Source organism: Homo sapiens, chromosome 1 (genome assembly GCF_000001405.40).
Source record: "Homo sapiens chromosome 1, GRCh38.p14 Primary Assembly".
Classification (NCBI taxonomy): domain Eukaryota; kingdom Metazoa; phylum Chordata; class Mammalia; order Primates; family Hominidae; genus Homo; species Homo sapiens.
In genome coordinates, this window is record NC_000001.11 from 93,864,840 (window position 1) to 93,885,152 (window position 20,313).

Below are 20,313 nucleotides of genomic sequence, written 5' to 3' on the forward strand. Positions count from 1 at the left end.
GTACTTCATATGGGTAATTTGCACAGTTAATTGGAAATGTGAGTCTGCAACAGAGGGTGGGGGATAGAGATGTAAGGATGGAGACTCTGGTGTCATCTGAAGAGATGAGAGCAGAAGTTGAAGGAGAGGGAGGACAAGATACTCAAGTCAAACAGTATCGAGAAAGAAGATGAGGGCAGGCATTAGGGAAACCAACAATTTAAGTGATGGACAGAGTAAAAAAATAAAGAGTAGGTAGGAGAAGCAGAAAAGCTGATCTTCCTACCGAAGCAGAGTAGCTGAAGCCTCAAGAAGGGGAAGATCAGTGTGTCAGATGACATTGTCTGGTTAGAAGGGATGAAGACTGAGAAAAAAATTGAATATAGCAGTATGTAGGAACAGTTTCTCTAGACTGGTGGGGCCATGAGGAGGTAAGGCAGCCTTCATCAGATGGCCATGGCTGGTTTAGCGGAGGAGGAGTAAGTAGTTTGCTGAGGCTAGGCGTGGAAGTTGGGTTCTGGGAGAATGGAAGTGTCCTGTATCTCCTGCGTGCTCTTTGGGTGTAGAGGCTGCATTAGCTTCCCTGCTGTACCCAAGTGCTTATATAATGCACAGGACTCAATTATTTGTGTTAGCTGACTCGCAGGATGAATGACTGAATTTGGCAGAAAGTATTTAAAATTGAATAAATGGATTGTGGAGTGGCAGTGAAAACCCAGCTGAGTCAATAGCTTCATTATACTTTCCTGAATCTCAATAATCTAGACTGGTAAGAATAAGAATAGTGAGTGTTTCCCTGACTGGGATTGGTGAGGCGAGAGTAACAGAAACCAAAAGACTATTAATAAAGAGACTAGCGGGGCATACAAAGAATTTTTGAAATGTCTGATGAATTGGGTCTAGATTGGTTAGGGAGAAAAATGTATCTTCATGAGGATAGAGGATTCAGAGAATGAGTGGCTGAAAGGCTTGAAATCATGATTTCACAATGTTTGGGGGGTGAGACCCAGGCATCAGCATTTTGAAGCCACCATAGGTAATTCCAAATTGCAGCCAAGGCTAAGTTGGAGACAACTGAAGGGAAGACTAACAGGATAACAGATAACAAGATACAAATTGGGGTAGTCTGAGTTAAGAATCTTGACCACTGAATTCTCAAACAACGAGTCTAAGGCCATGATAGTGATTCGCTAAAGTGAACTGGAAATGAGGGTAACTGGAATTGATAAAATTGAGCTTGAGGAACTACAGGGCCATCTTGATTTGAAGGTATGTCTTGTATGTCCTCCTAGAAATCCTCTATGCACAAACTTACCTAATTTTACATTTCATAGTTCATTGGAGATGTCTCATTTCTCCAGTGATAGAACACTGATCCGCTTATGACATTTAATTATAGGTCATGGTATTGATCCTACTTCTTGGAAGATTTTTCTTCACTTCAAAAACTATGTGACAATGAGAATAATTGCACTTTACATTTTAATTAGACAGATGCTTGGGGAATTGGTTAATTAGAAAGCCCTTTTTGTTGCAACCCTTACTGAAAACTTTCAATAAAGATATTCATCTAATTAAATAGTAAGTACAAATTCCATTAAGTAAACAATTAGGCATTTTTCAATGGTTTGGGATCTATTGTAGGTAATTATTCTGAACAAGTTGTCACTGCCTGAGAGACTGAATACCTGGTACATCTCTCAGAAATGTTAACTTTTTTTTCCCATTATGGTATTTTCTTTAACTTGCTGTTTCTAAGAATGGGATCCTATTAATGTATACCAGTTACTAAGGTTTTGTTGAACTTTTTTATATAGCCTCCCCACTCCCCACTCCTTTTGTGACATCTAGTTATGGGACCCAAAAAAGACATTTTCCCAGGTTTCAGAAGAGGAATATTGGTGTTTCTCTAGAGCAGTTGGTTTATCATACAGCAGAACACTGAACACAGAACTGATTGTGTTGGATGCTAAGAACCTAGCCCAGAGCCCAACTTTATCAACTGTAGTCTTACAGCATCTACTTTGTTTTAAGAACATTTTGGGCCAGACGTGGTGGCTCCTGCCTGTAATCCCAGCACTTTGGGAGGCTGAGGCCGGTGGATCACCTGAGGTCAGAAGTTCAAGACCAGCCTGGCCAACATGGTGAAACCCCGTCTCTACTAAAAATACAAAAATTAGCCGGGTGTGGTGGTGGGTGCCTGTTAATCCCAGGTACTTGGGAGGCTGAGGCAGAATTGCTTGAACCCGGGAGGCGGAGGTTGCAGTGAACCAAGATCATGCCACTACACTCCAGCCTGGGCGACAGAGCGAGAGTCCGTCTCTCAAAAAAAAAAAAAAAAAAAGCATCTTGGAGCCAGATGGTGTATAAATACAGCATTCTTTTCGAAATCTTTCAAGATCTTCTCAGGGGTATCTTGAAGGTCTCTTTCACCAGCACACCTGACTGTGGCAGCCCTTTGGATTCTTTATACTTTTCTGGTATAAAGCCTTCAAATAGTTCCAGTTGGCTGGGCATGGTGGCTCACACCTGTAATCCCAGCACTTTGGGAGGCCGAGGCGGGTGGATCACTTGAGGTAAGGATGGCAAAACCCCATCTCTACTAAAAATACAAAAGTTAGCTGGGCATAATGGCATGCCCAGTAGTCCCAGCTACTTGGCAGGCTGAGGTATGATAATCGCTTGAACTTGGGAGGCGGAGGTTGCAGTGAGCTGAGATGGCACCACTGCACTCCAACCTGGGTGATGGAGTGAGACGTCTCAAAAAAAAAAAAAAAAGTTCCAGTAGGTGAACTGAGTTTAGTGACACAGGCCAAAGTCAGTAAAACCTGTTTCTCAAAAGACTTGCTTATTAAAAAGCAAAACATAACTTCATCCATTATTTAAATATCCAGGTATTTGTAGAAGGCCAGAAGCACTAAAGGATACAATTCTCTCATACTGGGTCCTTATTTTATCCAGTAGAAGGCAAAACATAGTATTCCAGAAACAAAAGTAGTTTTTTTTTAAAATAAAAGAGAACAGACATAGATGCTTCCCTAACTCCAACTATGAATGTTATTGTCAGTTCTGCTATTACTAGCTTTTGACTCCAAGCAGTAAATATGAGATTTTGGACATAGGTATGGGCAGACTGCATGACTAAAACACCAAAAGCAATGGCAACAAAAGGCAAAATTGACAAGTGGGATCTAATTAAACTAAAGAGTTTCTGCACAGCAAAAGAAACTATTATCAGAGTGCACAGGCAATCTACAGAATGGGAGAAAATTTCTGTAATCTATCCATCTGACAAAGGGCTAATATCCAGAATCTACAAAGAACTTAAACAAATTTACAAGAAAAAACCCCATCAAAAAGTGGGTGAAGGATATGAACAGACACTTCTCAAAAGAAGACATTTATGCAGCCAACAAACATGAAAAAACGCTCATTATCACTGCTCATTAGAGAAATGCAAATCAAAACCACAATGAGATACCATCTCATTGCCAGTTAGAATGGCAATCATTAAAAAGTCAGGAAACAACAGATGCTGGAGAGGATATGGAGAACTAGGAACACTTTTACACTGTTGGTGGGAGTGTAAACTAGTTCAACCATTGTGGAAGACAGTGTGGTGATTCCGCAAGGATCTAGGACCAGAAATACCATTTGACCCAGCAATCCCATTACTGGGTATATACCCAAAGGATTATAAATCATTCTACTATAAAGACACATACACAAGTATGTTTACTGTGGCACTGTTCACAATAGAAAAGACTTGGAACCAACCCAAATGCCCATGAATGATAGACTGGATAAAGAAAATGTGGCACATATACACCATGGAATACTATGTGGCCATAAAAAAGCATGAGTTCATGTCCTTTGCAGGGACATGGCTGAAGCTGGAAATCATCTCAGCAAGAACAGAAAACTAACACAAGAACAGAAAACCAAACACTGCATGTTCTTACTCGTAAGTGGGAGGTAAACAATGAGAACACATGGACACAGGGAGGGGAACATCACACACTGGGGCCTGTTGTGGGTGGGGGACTAGGGGAGGGATAGCACTAGGAGAAATACCTAATGTAGATAGGTTGATGGGTGCAGCAAACCACCATGGCACGTGTATACCTATGTAACCTGCATGTTCTACACATGTACCCCAAAACTATTATTAAAAAAAAAAAAGATTTCATATTTGCTGATATCTCAAGGAAGCAGTATGCTGGAAAAATAGAGGTAAAGTGAATAGTAACATAAAGGAAGCTACAACTCACCAAGTATCAACAGAAATGACCAACACTCCTTGGGTGCCAGAAACCAGCTTAGCCAGGGTGCATACTGTACCACTGGAGAAGAGGTAAGCTGGGTTAACTTCGAAGAAACCCTGGCCAACTTAAATTATAGTTTAATCCTGTTTTACTTGGACCACAACACTTAAATCTAGATAAAAACCAATTATTCCTCCCTGTTTCAGTTGCCAAGCAAGGAAAACAGCTCCTCTGCCCAAGCTTTCTAGGTCATATTCTTCATATCTTTGTATCCCAACTTTCTGGATCTGAATTTTATAGCTAACTATAGGGCATTGCCTCTCTACCATCTCCCGTCCCCTACACAGACACACACACACATACACACATAAAACTACCTATTAATTACAATAATGTTTATATATCTTTGATCATTTTTTAAAGTTCTTTGAACATGTTAGCAAACTTTATACTTCCTATCTTTTAATTAAATTTTCTTTAAATAACTAAGCATTGAAAACTTTACAAACCATCAGTTATCTTAAAATGGTTGAGATTTTTTTTCCTTTTTTCCCATAAAGAGTCTACACCAGGGTGGGTCTTTTAGACACCCCTATTTTCTAAGGGCATGTAATCGATTCTCAAATCAACTTTTTCCAAATACAAATTCCTGTATGAACAGGGCCAGTCTATGGTAAATTAATTTAGATGATGGTGTTAGTTTTCCAAACGTCTTTAATAAGTAAATAAAGGAGCAATGTAAAATGTTGCAGTTTGCTTGGTAAATCTTAATTGCGAAATTTCTTCTTCTTTCGGAACTTTTTTCCTGCTGCATTTGCTGCTTTTTCAGCCATGATCTCTGAGTACTTCCTTCGGTTGTATCTGAAAAAGAAAAATCAGAACTTTATGTTTGATATATCAGACATTAGAAGTTAATATAACCTTAGGGTAAAAGTTGGGAATGGAGTGGTGGACAAGACAAGTATAGTCTCTGACCTCATAGCACTTGCTTGCAATCTAGGGAGAAAAAATGGCAACTGTAGTAGGAAGACTTTCCTACTATATGCACTATATCCATCTATCTATCCATATATCCATATATGATCTATATATGCACTATATCCATCCACCAGGCTGTATCAAATGCTTTAAACATTTTTGAGGGATAAAAACACAAAAATCAGGACTAAGCAAAACAAAAAGTCACACTTATCCTGAAAATGCACAGTATGATATATATATTTCTTAGAAGCGACCAATGGTTTTCAAAGTGTGGTCTGTGGAGTAGACCCTTTCAAGGGATTCATTAGGTAAAAACTATTTTCTCAAGAATACTAAGGCATTAATCGCTTTTTTCACCCTCGTTCTCTCATGAGTGTAGTGTTTTCCAGGGGCTACGTGATGTATGTTATCTGCAGAAGCAGGTATGAGCCTCTGTCTTTAGTTAAGCCAGACATTAAAGAGATTTGCACTAAATTATTTTTCATAAAAATATATATTCATGTTAATATGTTATGGGTTATTATAAATGAGTTATTTTTAAATTATTTGAAAATTTATAAGTTTATACATTTTTAAAGCAAAGTATACATATTATAAAATAAATATGAATTCCTTTACCTTCTGAATTCAGAATCAGCCAGCAGTTCTTCCACAATAGTTCTTTTCCTTTGCTTCTTGGGAATTCGTGAATGGTAGAAATCAGCTGGATTGTCAACAATGGTTCCAATCTGTGAACAATTGATTGAAATAAGTCATGCATTGAGTGCCAAGATGCTTTCATACTTCAGTGTAGCTCTAATTATATTTAGAGAAAGGAATGGAAAGAACAAGCTTACATTACACTAATAGTAATGTAAATTTTGCCATTTATTTAAAGCAAAAAAAAAAAAGTAGCATAGTGGTGCTATTATGTTTCTTCAGTAGTTTATAGTAGATCCAAAATTTCTTTGCTAAACACTAAATTCATGATGCACAGTGTAACTAAAGGAGAAAAGTGGAACAGATAATATATACTTTTTGTTCTAGTTTCCCAAATCAATGAATTAGACACATAAATTCTACTACATACCTATTTGGTTTCCTAGGTCATCACAAAGGCTGCCAGTTTGGCCTACTTAGTGATCATTCTGTATTTGTTCATACACTCAACTGAATAAAATTTACAGTGATCACTATGCACCAGGCACTGTGTTACATGTTAGGGAAACAAAGAACATCTGGTTCCTGCAGTGCAGAGCCTGCAGTCTTAAGGAAGCTCCACAAAAAGTAACTAAAATATTAAAGCATAACATGTGCTGAACAAAACACTATAGACGCTCTGAAGACAAAGTGACCAATTGTACCTAAGAGAGGTAAGGAAGATTTAACAAAGAATGACAATTTAGCTTGAATTTGTATGGGTAAAATTTCACCAAACAAACAAGAACTATGGATATGCAAAGTCAAATTATGCAGGGACTGGTATGTACGTGTTCTGACAAGACTGAGTAGCTAAGTGTGTTGGAATTTGTTGGGCTATATGATGAAAGGCAGGTGAACTAGTTTGGGTATGGATTATTAATGGCTAAATGAAAGGATACAGACCCAATCCTATGTCATAATTCATCACTGAATGTTTCTGAGCAGAGGTGTAACACGAACAGATGAAAACATTTTAAAAACCAACTTGGATTAGTACACGTGATACCCTTTTACCCCTATCCCGTATGGACTCTTGCTGTTAGGCTGATACTATTCATACATTCACATAGTGAACTTTATAGGTTCAACAGGTTTTAGCTGACCTGGAAACCATTTGTAACACCATCTCTCTAAATGTGATCAAATTAAAAGTTAGTGGCTGAATTGGGTAATGGCCATTCTTATATGGCCTATGCAGATATGTTCCATACATTAGGCATGCACAATGGAAATATCCTCTATTTTAGGAGTAAACTTTAAAGAACACTACAGTGCTTTCCAAACTAAAATTCACAGATCATCACCACTATTCTGTTTGCTTCATACCTGGAAGTACTTGGGGAAGCCATCTCTATCATTTTTCTTGTAAAATCTTTTCGGGTCCATGCTGGCTCTCATCTTCAGTGCTTTGAGATCATTTTTCAGTTCATTTGTCATTTCTGGAGCTTTCATACCAAACCAGCCATCCCCTGCTGTTTTTTGTCGTTCTTTCTGAAATTATGATTTCAAAAATAAACATTCTAACAGCTAAGAGTATACATTATAATTCATTTCCCCTGAAGTAACACATACAGAAAATTTTGTAAATTAAAAACAAATGGTTACTTTATTGAAAGCACTTAAATCCAGAATCATAGAGATAAAAGGAATTAAATCACAAAAAGTGACTTCTCCGCTAAATTAGGGACAGGATTATCAGTTTCATAAATGAGGGCTCCGTAAAATCTATTTTCTGTCTCAGAGAGTAACTGCTGACTTGCTGGGAGAATAACACACAACTTCAATTTTTATTGTCTAAAACAGACTATATGCAGTAAGAAAATGTATAAAAACACTTTCGTTTCTAGAGCTTATATGTAAACATTTTTATTCAGTCACCCAGGAGTCTCAGAATGCCACTCATACAAGGATCCAGAACCTTGTGTTATTTCTACAATAAAACAAAATACTATTCTTTAGAAAACTCCTACAAGTTATTTAATTTTGTTTCATTCATACAACAAGTATTTAGTTAGTGCCTACCATGTGCCAGGGTGCTCCATATTACAGTAACATTACTAGAATACCATCCTCAACTTTCCTTCAAGCTCTCTGGATAACTAGTCGAAATGGCAGATAGAAGTAATCTATATATATATATATTTTTTTAAAAAACCTCTACTTATAGATGCACTATTGTGGCTGCAAAGATGTGAAAATCTATACATAATGTGTTTATGGTACTATATTTTACAGCCCTTAGAAATCTGTAATTATTTTCTTTGGACTCATATATAGACCAACAGATACAGTTTAATTGTGCAGTTATGTTGTATAAGCTGAAAATATATAGCCAAACATATCTAAGCATTTTAATTAAGTCACTGTACTTACTCTGCGTTTTTTCTGAAGTTGATACTTTGATTCACTATATGGTGGAACACAGTGGTTTTTTTCAAAATCAGGTGTAATGACGGCTTTCTGCAGAAGCTATAAAAACATAAAATTGGTTTTAAAATAATGTCAGAATGTTATATAAGTTTTTCAACAGTTTAAACTTCTGTAAGTTTTAAAATTTTTAGTCAGCCTGGCAAAGTGGCTCACACCTATAATCCTAGTGCTTTGAGGAGGCCAAGGGAGGAGGATCACTTGAGGCCAGGAGTTTTAGACCACCTTGGTCAACATAGCAAGACCCTGACTGTAAAAAAAAAAAAAAAAAGAAAAGAAATTAGTTGGGCATGGTGGCACACACCTGTAGTCCCAGCTACTCAGGACGCTAAGGCAGAAGGATCACTTGAGGCCAGGAGCTTGAGGCTGCAGCAAGCTATGACTGTGCCACTCACTCCAGCCTGGGTGACAGAGTGAGACCCTGTCTCCCCCCAAACCCAGCTCCCTCCCAAAAAAAAAAAGAAAAAAGAAAAAAAAGGCCAGGCACGATGGCTCATGCCTATAATCCCAACTCTTTAGGAGGCCAAGGCAGGACAATCACTTGAGGCCAGGAGTTCAAGACTAGCCTGGGTAACATAAGAAAACGCCATTTCTCCAAAATAAATAAATAAATTTGTGCAGTCAAATCTGTTTATCTTTTCCTAAATGATTTCTGTACTTTTGTTACTTGACTAGGATGATTATATTCTCCTAAAACTCTGTGTGACTAAAGGAACCTCAGGTTAATTAGTATTTTTCTCAGTACAAGAACCAAGTAAGACTGCTCTGTAGCCCTCAAAATAGTTTACAGGAATATAGTACAAGCATTAATTTGGGACTGACATTTGAAATGATCAACTCAGAAATTAACAGTCAGGCACACAATTCAGGTTCAGGCCTAGATGTTTCTGTGTGGTATAGGTAGCCGTCTAGGCTTTCCTATCACTCATAAAAGGGGGCATGATATTTACTTAACAAATGATTAAGAGTTTGCTGTGAGTCAAGTACTGTAGTACATTCAAGGACAGTGGTTCTCAACTGGGAGCATCTGGCAATGTCTGGAGACATTTTTGGTGGTGGTGAGGATAAGGAAGAATGCTACTGACATCTAGTGGGCAAAAGATAGGGATGCTGTTAAACATCCTACTATGCACGGAACATCTCACAACAAAATTATGCAGCCCAAAACATCAGTAGTGCTGAGACTGAAAAACCCTGTTTTAGGAATATAAAGAAAAGATGGTAAGTTAATATATCACATGATCAACAATGAATCAGATCTATGCTAGATGTTATGGAAACAGAGGGGTTGTGAGAAGGACTGGAGGTAAAATATTCCCCAAGGGCAACGATCAATTATTTTGCACTTGCTTGGGGAAAAGCAGGGTAAGTTCAGGCAACTACAGTAGTCTTCAGTGGCAAGAATAGAGCAGATGACAGCTGGGTGGGGTAGAGAGGTACTTTGAAGGATTCAAGAGAATACTGTCACATCTGTGTGTGTGGTGTGTTTTTTGGGGCAGGGAGGAGAGATGTGGTCTAGCTATGTTGCCCAGGTTGGTCTCAAACTCCTGGGCTTAAACAATTCTCCTGCCTCAGCCTCCCAAAGTGCTGGGATTATAGATGTGAGCTACCTTGCCCAGCCGGATTTGTGTTTTTAGACAGAGAAATCTAGAAGTGTGGAGGATGGCTTGAAGAACAAGATGAAAACAAGATCAATAAGGAAGCCACTGGAGTAGTCCAGATGAGAAGCAAAGGCCTGCACTAGCTGGTGACAGTCGCTTGAAAAGGAGGAAGCAGAGAAATATCTTCCCCTAGAGGCTTGGTGACTGACTACAAAAGGAAAAGAGAGTTTGGTTTCATTAGCCAGAAAAAAGAATACAAGAAGAGGATTCCTGGTTCAGGCAGGGAAAGGGGAATTAGTGACGTCAAGTACCTGAGGACATCTAAATGAACAAATAGGTACTTGGATTTAAAGGTCTGAAAGTGACAGTGAGAAGCATCAAGGCTAGAAAATATAGATTTAGGAGAAAACAGTGCAAGGTGTTGGCTAAAGCTAAGGGTTTGGGTAAAGTTACCTTAACAGTAATTCCTTCTGAAATTATATGTAAAATGTCTATATGCACATGTGCATTTTTTTCCGGGTGGAAGAGGCAGGCAGGCATTCACAGCTTTCAGATTCTCAACAGTCTACACTAGTTAAGAACTTAAGAACTAAAAGTATAGCAAGAAAAGGGAAAAAAACAAAACCCCTGGGATCATAATTGGTGGGTGTAAGATGAGGAACACTGACCCTGTATTGATTTATTTTTAAAGCATTATCATTCATAGATAGGATTTTATTGTAAAAAGAAATGACTGTTTTAGAGAGAAGGAAAAAACTAACACATTAGGCCAATGTGGTTTCACTGTAGGAAAATTAAGTCTTTTACCAAGGACTAATTTCTAAAAGTGATTGGTTAGTTCTGTGAAAACCTAACAGCACAATTAACTTACCTCATTTTTCTTTTTCTCCTTGATCTGTGTTAGGGTTCTCTTGTTAGACTGTAGTTTATCTGCATTAAAATTAATATACAAACCACCCAACTGCTTGATACTCAGACCAGGGTCTATGCTGCTGCTTGTCAACTTCAGACTGAAAAAGAAATCATCACTTAAAGATCAAGTAATTAAATCAAAATGGAAACATATAAGATGGCATTTTAAAAAATCACTTATTCTTCTCTTCCCTTGTATTGTCCACAATAAAGAAAAAAAAGCATCTTATTTTTATGAGGAATTCCTGAAAAAAAACTCTAAATAAATATATTTTTCATCATTTTATTTTATTTTTTGAGACAGGGTCTCACTGTTGGCCCAGGATGGAGTGCAGTAGTGACCACTGCAGCCTTGAACTCTTGGGACTCAAGTGATCCTCCTACCTCAACCTCCCTGGGTGGCTGGGACTACAGGTGCACACCCAACACCTGGCTCCATAATGTCAAATGAATGAGCCATTCCATGAAGAACCCAAGGCAGTGATTTTCTCATTCCCCAGGCTAACATTTCATATTTTTATGGTAAATTAACCACTTGAAATACATGTATCAAAAACTTATAAAAATAAAGGAAAAACTTACAGTTTAGCCTTTGTGCTATTTAGGAAGTCTTCTTCATCACTAAACTCATCTTCATTTTCGTCATGGTCTGATGAATCTTCTTCACTTTTTTCATCCTCTTCCTCTTCTTTTTCTTCCTCAATGGCAACCTCACTTGCCTTGTCTTCCTCTTCCAAGTAAAAATTTTTATCAGCACTCATTCCAGGAGTTGTGTCAATTACAAACAATGCATTGTCACATGACAGACTTCCTGTGTCTCCACTTAATGACTCCCTTTGGCCACTATTTTCAACAAAACATAAAGTATCCTCTTCATTCTCACTGTTTTCAGACTGTTGGCTTTCATCACTGCTGAGAACTAGTAAGACAGAATTATCTTTACCCTGAGATGTGTTGGGCGCAGACGTGTATAGTTTGGTATCACATTCAAAATCTACATTCCCTTCACTGTTCATGTCTTCACTGACACTTATAACTGTGGACTCTTCTTCATCATCACTACCACCACAATCACCAAACTTTGTCAAGTCACTTGCTTTTATGGGGCTCTTTTTGTTGTTATTCCATCTGCCTACTTCCACAGTTGCAAATGTTTGAGTTAATGATTTCATTACAGCCTCAGAGTTCAGATTAGAGTGCACTGATACAGCATTTTTATTTTGGGGGGTTGAATGTCTCTGAGAAACTAACTGTTGAAGGCTAGTGTCCTGAAGTTCAGAAAGATTCTTCAGCTGAGAACTTTTCTCATTAATTTCTTTCCCCTCATCTGTTATTCCATTGGCATCTTCATCCAAATCCTTACAATTCTGTTTTGTTTCTTTAAGAGATTCAACATTGGCCTGTTCGTGCACTGTTAATATATTTTCTGAACTTCTGTGGGAGAAATCATCATCAAAGTCATTATTATAGAAATTTGGCTTATTTATCTCAGAAAGAGATCTTGCTTGTAAATGGGAAGTTTGTCTGGTATCTGAATCCTCTGAATTCACAGGTGTACCCACGATCTGTTTCTCATTTCCTGGTACAATCTTACTATCTTTCTTTTCAGTTTGTGCCTTTAATTTCCTCTGCATACTCCTGGTTCTTCTAGTTGCAATTCCAGAGAATGAAATGTCTGAGCTTGATGTCTCAGCATCAGATATAGCTTCTGTATGAGATTCTTGGCTTGGATCTGTCAGAGATTTAGCCTTACTTCTTCTGGCTCCTGTAGTTTTTTCTGTAGGAAGCACAATTCTAGAAATACCTGAAACATGAGATTCTGCTTCAGACACTATTTCTTCAGTGTAAGACTCCTTTGTTGGAGTTACTTTCGGCTTTTTCCTAACACTGGACACTGGGGAGCATGCAATTAAGATCTGCCTTCTCCTAGTTACCCTTAAAATGGTATCATGGTGCTCAGACACAGAATAATTTGACTCTGCCTCAGAGGTTTCTCCATCCGTAGATGGTTCAGTCCCCTTTGGTAGTGAGCCTGTAGTTCTGCTCTTCCTCTTTCTAGCTTTAGGAGTTCTAGGGATTAAACTTTGCTTCCCAGTGGTCTGTGATTCAGCAGTAGTTCGGGCATCAGATCCAGTACTACTTTCTGGATGCGCTTGAATCCCATTAGCAGCAAAACTCTGCAAACCAGAGAAAACACACTGTAATTTAGGTAGGGCTGGAACAAGGGCAAAGCAAATGAAATACTGACCCCAAAAGCTAAAACCCAGTAAACAAGATTACCTTTAAAACAAAAAACAAAAAAACCTGCCCAACTCATGATTTTTAAAAAATCAAAATTTGGCCGGGCGCGGTGGCTTACGGCTGTAATCCCAGCACTCTGGGAGGCCGAGGCAGGTGGATCACGAGGTCAGGAGTTCGAGACAGCTTGGCCAACATAGTGAAACCCCATCTCTACTCAAAGTAAAAAAATTAGCGGGGCGTGTTGGTGCGCACCTGTAATCCCAACTACTCAGGAGCCTGAGGCAGAAGAATTGTTGGAATCCGGGAGGCAGAAGTTGCAGTGAGCCGAGGCTGCGCCACTGCACTCTAGCCTGGGCGACAGAGCAAGACTCCGAATCAAAAACAAACAAACAAAAAAATCAAAATTTAAACACTGGAGCCAACCCTGCATTTACTTCACTAGCCTCATCCTTCCTAGATGTAACTTCAGAAGCAGAACGATTAAAATTTTTCTGTTTAAAGTCAAATATAATGGGTAGACCAACATTCTGACCCACCTATAGAAGAGGGGAGAAAGGGAATATTAACTCTGAACACCGATGTGTTTAGGAACACACTGATGGAATCAGTCGCCGCCCTTACCTTTACGTACAGGAAAAAATCGCCGCCGCTCCGTTCCCTGCATCGCTGAGTCAGAATGAGACAGCCGACTAACGCCACTAAGAGTCACCAGGCGACGACACCACAGCCCTCCTCACGCCTTAAGGAGGTGATGCTGGACAGCTGCCAGCCTCCCCACGTGAAAACGAAGCTTTTTTTCCAGCCCCCCTAAATGGGGCTTGTGCATGGTGGCCGAAATTAACCCTCCTTGGTACCGTGTTAACAGTAAGGTTTAAAAGTTCGAACTGTGCTTCTGCATTAAGGAGTTGAACGACCCAAATAAAGTTATCTAACCTCTCTTCCATACTAAAAATTGCCTTAAGAGACAGTGGTGAAGGCTAAACAGTTTCCGTGACAGGCTTAGCACGGGGCCTGGGAGACCCAAGCGCGCGGCAAGCTCGGGTCCTCTCTGTCGGCAGGTCCTCACCCTTAACCGGACCCTTGCGCCGCCCCGCCTGCCTGAGCGCGGCTCTGCGAAGCGGCGAGAAGTAGGGAAGACTGGATTTCCTACCTTTTGCCCGGAACTTTCAGCCGACGCGGCTTGGATGCTGGCCTTAGCCCGTGCAGATCTGGTAACCACCATCTTTCCGGCTCCCTCGCGACCACCACGACTTCCCTCTTCCCTGGCGCTCCGGAAATGCGTCAGAGAACTGCCTCGAGCGCGTTTTCCGCGCAGATCCGAGAATTCGCGAGAATCTCCGCCCAGCCAGTTCAGGCCAGGGCGGTCAGAGACAAAGGGCCTGGGTTTAAGTGTGCATTTCAGAGCTGTAGAAGGCAAGCCAGATTTTTGCTGGGAAAGACCTTCATCGGGGCGGCGAAGCCCGCAGTGACAGAGGGTCTTAGCGTACCCGTTCACATGAATTGTAAAAACGCACTTACATGCCATTCGTTCTTTCATTTGTTTAGTAGAATCGTTTGAACCCGGGAGGCGTTCTTTCATTTCTACGTTCTAAAGAGCTTAATGTAGCCATTGGTATGTCCAAGGGAGAAGTTTGAGATATTTGTGCTTTTTAAAGAAAGACAATATTTACTCGTGTATTGTGACGCTAACTATAAATAAAATTTAAGGACTTGGTTGGGGTAAAAGGGATATAAGGTGCTCGCAGGAACTGGGAGACGAAGTGGAAAGCTGTATAATCTAAACGTGAGATGGTGTTTAGGGATTGGGAATAGCAGAAAAGAAAAAAACGTTAAAGAAATTGTAAAGGAGAAGAATAAGGTTTTGTTGTTGTTGTTGTTGTTGTTATTGTCACAGTGAAAGGAAGAGTATGACCAGAATCAAGAGGTTTCTTTGGTTATCTTTTGAGATAAAAGGTAGAGAACTATGTTTGAGGGGATGGGAAGGGGTTGAAAAAATAAGTAAACGCAAATTATTGTTGGAGGTGAGAAAGGATGAATGAGTGCCTCACCAAACCTAGTCTCTACTTCATGACAGAAAACCAATTTTTTATTTAAAGTCACAGAACACTGTGTCGATGGACACACTGCTTCCCAGCTTAAAATAGCTTATTTTATAGTCTCTCTTGCAGCCAAATGTGGCTATGTGACTACGTTTTAGCCAATTAGGTATAAATTGTGTGCATGTCTTTAGGGACGGCATCTAAAAGAGAGGAGGCCGTCCCTGACTTTTTTTTTTGGAGACGGAGTCTTGCTCTGTCGCCCAGGGTGGAGTGCAATGGCGCAATCTTGGGTCACTGCAACCTCCGCCTCCCGGGTTCAAGCGATTCTCCTGCTTCAGCCTCCTGAGTAGCTGAGATTACAGGCGCCCGCCACCATTCCTGGCTAATTTTTTTTTTGTATTTTTAGTAGAGACGGGGTTTCACCATGTTGGGCAGGCTGGTCTTGAACTCCTGCCTTCAGGTGATTCACCCGCCTCGGCCTCTCAAAGTGCTGGGATTACAGTGCTGGGATTATAGGCCTAAACGACCTCGCCCAGCCCTCCTGATCTTTTAAAGTGCATTTTACTTCCTGGAAAGTTGGGTTCGCTGGTTTTCAGGCGGCAAGTTTGTGCCATAAGGATGAAGGCATGCTTTAGAGATGGCATAGCAGTGAGATGGAAAAATCAACTTGTGGAGCTGCCCTATGAGCCCTCAAGAGCCGCCTTCTAGATTTTTCACCTGATGGAAACACCTTGTTAAAAGCCACTGTTAATTAAGGATTTTTCTATTTGCAGCCGAGCCTAATGCTAACTGAACTGGATAATAAACAGAGATGTGGGTGTAGTCAGAAAAGAATGCACCTTCCTTTGAGCCAGGAGGAAAGAGTTGATATCTGAAACAGAGAGGAGAATGTGAATGCAAGTATGTTCAAGTGGAGTGAAGAAGAGAAGATTTTGGGTAGATAATAACCTCTGTAAGTAGGTGATACATCTCAGAAGAATGGAAATGGTTTATATCAACATTTGTGGCAAATGTGGTAAGAAGCAAAAATAAATTTTAGTAGGGCCAAGTAGCAGTGAGACTATGTAAGAAGATGAACAGAAGAGAAAGGTTAGATTTGAGGAGGAGACAAATCGTGTAGAAGGAAAGTGAACCAATTGGATGTAGGTTGTGGAGATCAAAGCATCAAAGAACAACAGCATCAATCATAATAGTATTGGCCACTTAATATCTGCTGGATACTAATCTACGTGCTTTACATGTATTCATTCATTTAATCTCCACATCTTTAATTTGAGCAAATGCATGAAAATAGAAATTAAGATGACAGAGGTAGGTGTAGAAAACTGGAGAGAATATTAGAAAATCATGCAATGTCTAATACTCACTTGCAAGCATGGCCCTTTCAAGTAAAGAAAAAAAAAAAGGAGAAAACCAACTCATATACAATCTAAGGTCAAGAAACAAACGTAAGATACTAAAATTGTCAGTACATAGTTATAATATGAGAAGATTGAGCTGGTCTATCAACAAATCTACCATAGGCCAAAAAAAAAAGAAGTGTTTTTACGTGGGCTTACCAGGTTTGCCATATTCTTTGCCTATCTTCTTTATCTGAAGTGGATTTAGGGCAAATACAGTATATTTAATTTTAGGTATATATAGTATATACAATACAGTTGACCCTTGAACAACACGGGTTTGAACTGGGAAGTTTCACTTATGCAGTGATTTTCTTCTGCCTCCACCACCCCTGGACAGAAAGACCAACCCCTCCTCTTCCTCCTCAGCTTACTTAACATGAAGACAAGGATGAAGACCTTTATGATGATCCACTTCCACTTCTCTTCCTTATGATTCTCTTAAAATTTTCTTTTCTCGTTTATTGTAAGAATGCAATATATAATATATACAACATATAAAATATGTATTAATCAACTAGTTATCTGCAAGGCTTCTGGTCAATAGTAGGCTATTAGTAGTTAAGTTTTGGGGTAGTCAAAAGTTATCTGTGGATTTTCAACTGTGCAGGGGGGTCAATGCCCCAACCCCCACATTTTTTAACGGTAACCAGTACTATTACTCAGGCCCAAAAGGAAATTTACCTTAAATAATCTATATTTTACTAATTAAATCCTTAAACTGAAAGGTCAAAGCTCCCTGGAATTTTAGGCATTAACCAAAAGATGAGAGTTTTAGTGCATGAGCCTTCTAAAAATGCATACTATTCATGGTCATTCTGCATTGTTACATGTAAAACATTACTATTAAAATTAAGTTTGACCTGTAAGATGTCCAGTGATCCCATTTTCTGGTCTTCAAACCTTTGAATGTGGGCTGGACTTAGTGAGTTCTAATGAAACGAGTATGACAAAAATGATGGATGTCACTTTCAGGATTAGGTTAACAAAAGGCTGGCTTCTATCTTGCTCTCTCTCAATCATTCACTCTGTAGGAACCTAGCTGTACGTTATAAGCTGTCCTTTGAAGAGAACACTGTGGCAAGGAACTGAGTGAAGGAGGCCTCTGGCCTACACCCAGTGAAGAATTAAGGAACTCAGTCTGACAACGTGTGAGGCACTGAGTCCTGCCAACAACTACACGAGTGAGCTTGGAAACAGACCCTCAGTCCAGCCTTCAGGTGAGACTGCAGTCTTGACTTATCCATTGCTGCATCTGGATGCCTCAAAGTCATCCAGATACAACAATAGATAACCAGTAGTTATAGATTAACTTCATCTCTCCTAAAATTTCAAGTAAAATAAATAATACAGGCCAGGTACAGAGGCTCATACCTGTAATCCCAGCACTTTGGGAGGTTGAGGAGGCAGGATCACTTGAGCCCAGGAGTTTGAGACCAGCCTGGGCAACATAACAAAACCCCATCTCTACAAAATATATAAAAATTAGCCAGGCATGGTGGCATGCGCCAGTAGTCCCAGCTACTTGGGAGGCTGAGGTGGGAGGATCACTTGAGCCTGGGAGGTTGAGGCTGCAGTGAGCCATGATCATGCCACTGCACTCCAGCCTGGGTGACAGAGCGAGACCACGTCTTAAAAAAAAAAAAAAGAAAAAAGAAATAATACAGTATGTACTCATGTCTAGCTTCTTTCACTCAGCATAGTGTTTCTGTAATTCATCCATGTTATTGTGTATACCAGTAGTTGATTCTTTTTTATTGCTGAGTATTTCATTGTATGACTATATAACAATGGATTTATCCATTCAGCTGTTGATAGACATTTGGGTTGTATCTGGTTTTCAATATTGTATTTGGGGGCTTTTAGAATTCTGTAATGTCAAATGATCATTTAAGATTGAGTGCAAACTAAGCTGGGTGTGGTGGCATGTGCCTGTAGTCTCAGCAACTTGGGAGGCTGGAGCAGGAGGATTGTTTAGTTCAGGAGTTCTAGGCAGTAGTATGCGATGATCACACCTGTGAATAACCACTGCACTCCAATCTGGGCAACATAATGAAAACTGATCTCTATAAAAAACAAAAACAAAAACAAAAAACAAAGGTTGAGTGCAAAATAAAGACATTTCAGACAAATGGGATCTAGAAAATTTACTGTCACTAAAGACCTTTGGTAAAGAATTACTAAGGAGGCTAGGTACTGTGTCTCATGCCTGTAATCCCAGCACTTTGGGAGGCTGTGGTGAGAGGATCACTTGAGTCCAAGAGTTCAAGACCAGCCTGGGCAACATAGCGAGATCCTGTCTCTACAAAAATAAAAGTTAGCCAGGTGTGGTGGTGCATGTCTGTAGTCCCAGCTACTTGAGAGGCTGAGGTGGGAGGATGGCTTAAGCCTGGGAGGTTGAGGCTGCAGTGAGCCATGATCATGCCACAGTACACCAGCCTAAGAAACAGAGTGAGATCCCTGTCTCAAAAAAAAAAAAAACAAAAAAAAAAAACTTGAATAGAATGCAAGAATCAACAGTGAGCAAAGAAAGAGGGAAAATAATCAAAATAAGTAATGTTCATTGTAAAACATGAACCTTAAAATAATGGACCAGCAGACACATCAAAATCTTGCATGACATTTTACACATTTAGTCATTGCTGAGGAAACATGTTAAAGCTTTTGTTGACTTCTCTGGTAGCGGAACTACATATGACCATATCCTGATATATTTAGAGGAAATTAGCAAGCTTTCATCTTTTTATGACTTTTCCAAACTTAACCTACGCTTATCTCAACAGAAGCCATTCCTTTCTATAAGAATAAGCTTTTGAAGATGTTTTCCTTGAACTTCTAAAGTTTACATATTAACTACTCCATCATTCAATAGGGGCATATTTACAAACCAGGCAAACAAGGGTTTCTGCCCAGAATGCCTACCACACCTTGTCATCTGACCCTAGTCTAAAGCTAATTTCTTCAGGGAAGTTTTTCTTATCCTTAACCTGCTACTCAGTCCCACTTCCTTCCACATGCCCCAGTCCTTTTCATTACTTCTATCAACAGATACAGCTTTTTTTTTTTTTTTGAAACGGAGTCTTGCTCTGTCACCAGGCTGGAGTGCAGTGGCATGATCTTGGCTCACTGCAACCTCCAACTCCCTGGTTCAAGCGATTCTCCTGCCTCAGCCTCCTGAGTAGCTGGGACTACAGGCACATGCCACCACGCCCAGCTAATTTTTGTATTTTTAGTAGAGACAGGGTTTCACCATGTTGGCCAGGATGGTCTCAATCTCCCGACCTCGTGGTCTGCCCACCTCGGCCTCCCAAAGTGCTGGGATTACAGGCATGAGCCACTGTGCCCGGCCTTTTTTCTTTTTTTGGGGGACAGAGTCTGGCTCTGTCACCCATGCTGGAGTGCAGTGGTGTGATCTCGGCTCACTGCAACCTCCACCTCCCAGGTTCAAGTGATTCTTATCCCTCAGCCTCCCAAGTAGCTGGGATTACAGGCATGTACCACCATGCCCGAATAATTTTTGTATTTTTAGTAGAGACTGGGTTTCACCATGTTGGCCAGGCTGGTCTCGAACTTCTGGCCTCAAGTGATCTGCCCGCCTCGGCCTCCTAAAGTGCTGGAATTACAGGTGTGAGCCACTGCGCCCAGCCAACAGATGCAGCCTTTTATTGCTCTTATTCACATACAGATTCCTCCCTTTCCCCCCAAATATATCGTATATTCCTTGGGTATAGGAGTTATTTTTCATCTGTGTCCATCTGTAGCACAGTGCCTAACACATAGCAGGCAT

The 20,313-nt window shown here is 40.0% G+C and overlaps 1 protein-coding gene across 1 annotated transcript, besides 3 other annotated features; it reads right to left on the bottom strand.

Annotated features, from left to right (window-relative positions):
* Positions 1-1,444: 1,444 nt before the first annotated feature.
* DNTTIP2 (deoxynucleotidyltransferase terminal interacting protein 2) lies at positions 1,445-14,367 on the bottom strand. The gene is made up of 7 exons (NM_014597.5): positions 14,238-14,367; positions 11,429-13,023; positions 10,806-10,944; positions 8,280-8,375; positions 7,233-7,397; positions 5,844-5,953; positions 1,445-5,105 (listed from the first exon to the last, which is right to left on the bottom strand). Exons 1-7 carry the CDS (start codon positions 14,307-14,309, stop codon positions 5,012-5,014), a joined length of 2,271 nt encoding a protein of 756 aa, NP_055412.2. The 5' UTR covers positions 14,310-14,367; the 3' UTR covers positions 1,445-5,011.
* Positions 14,093-14,522: an enhancer, noted in NCBI's record as "active region_1344". NCBI's record gives its function as "activates an Ori minimal core promoter by ATAC-STARR-seq in GM12878 lymphoblastoid cells {active_cell/tissue: GM12878}" and the evidence as "EXISTENCE:reporter gene assay evidence [ECO:0000049][PMID:35858748]".
* Positions 14,093-15,189: a biological region, named in NCBI's record as "H3K27ac hESC enhancer GRCh37_chr1:94344769-94345584".
* Positions 14,374-15,189: an enhancer, noted in NCBI's record as "H3K27ac hESC enhancer chr1:94344769-94345584 (GRCh37/hg19 assembly coordinates)". NCBI's record gives its function as "activates a minimal SCP1, AML or CMV promoter by ChIP-STARR-seq in naive H9 embryonic stem cells {active_cell/tissue: H9 hESC(naive)}" and the evidence as "EXISTENCE:reporter gene assay evidence [ECO:0000049][PMID:30033119]".

What these genes read in the sequence shown, in the direction of transcription:
- DNTTIP2 (NM_014597.5), bottom strand. Translation starts at nt 14,309, where the DNA reads ATGGTGGTTACCAGATCTGCACGGGCTAAGGCCAGCATCCAAGCCGCG. An exon ending in AACTTCAGAAAAAACGCAGA is followed by an intron (nt 7,398 to 8,279) that starts GTAAGTACAGTG and finishes TCATAATTTCAG; the next exon opens with AAAGAACGACAAAAAACAGC. An exon ending in GCTTCCCCAAGTACTTCCAG is followed by an intron (nt 5,954 to 7,232) that starts GTATGAAGCAAA and finishes AATTGTTCACAG; the next exon opens with ATTGGAACCATTGTTGACAA.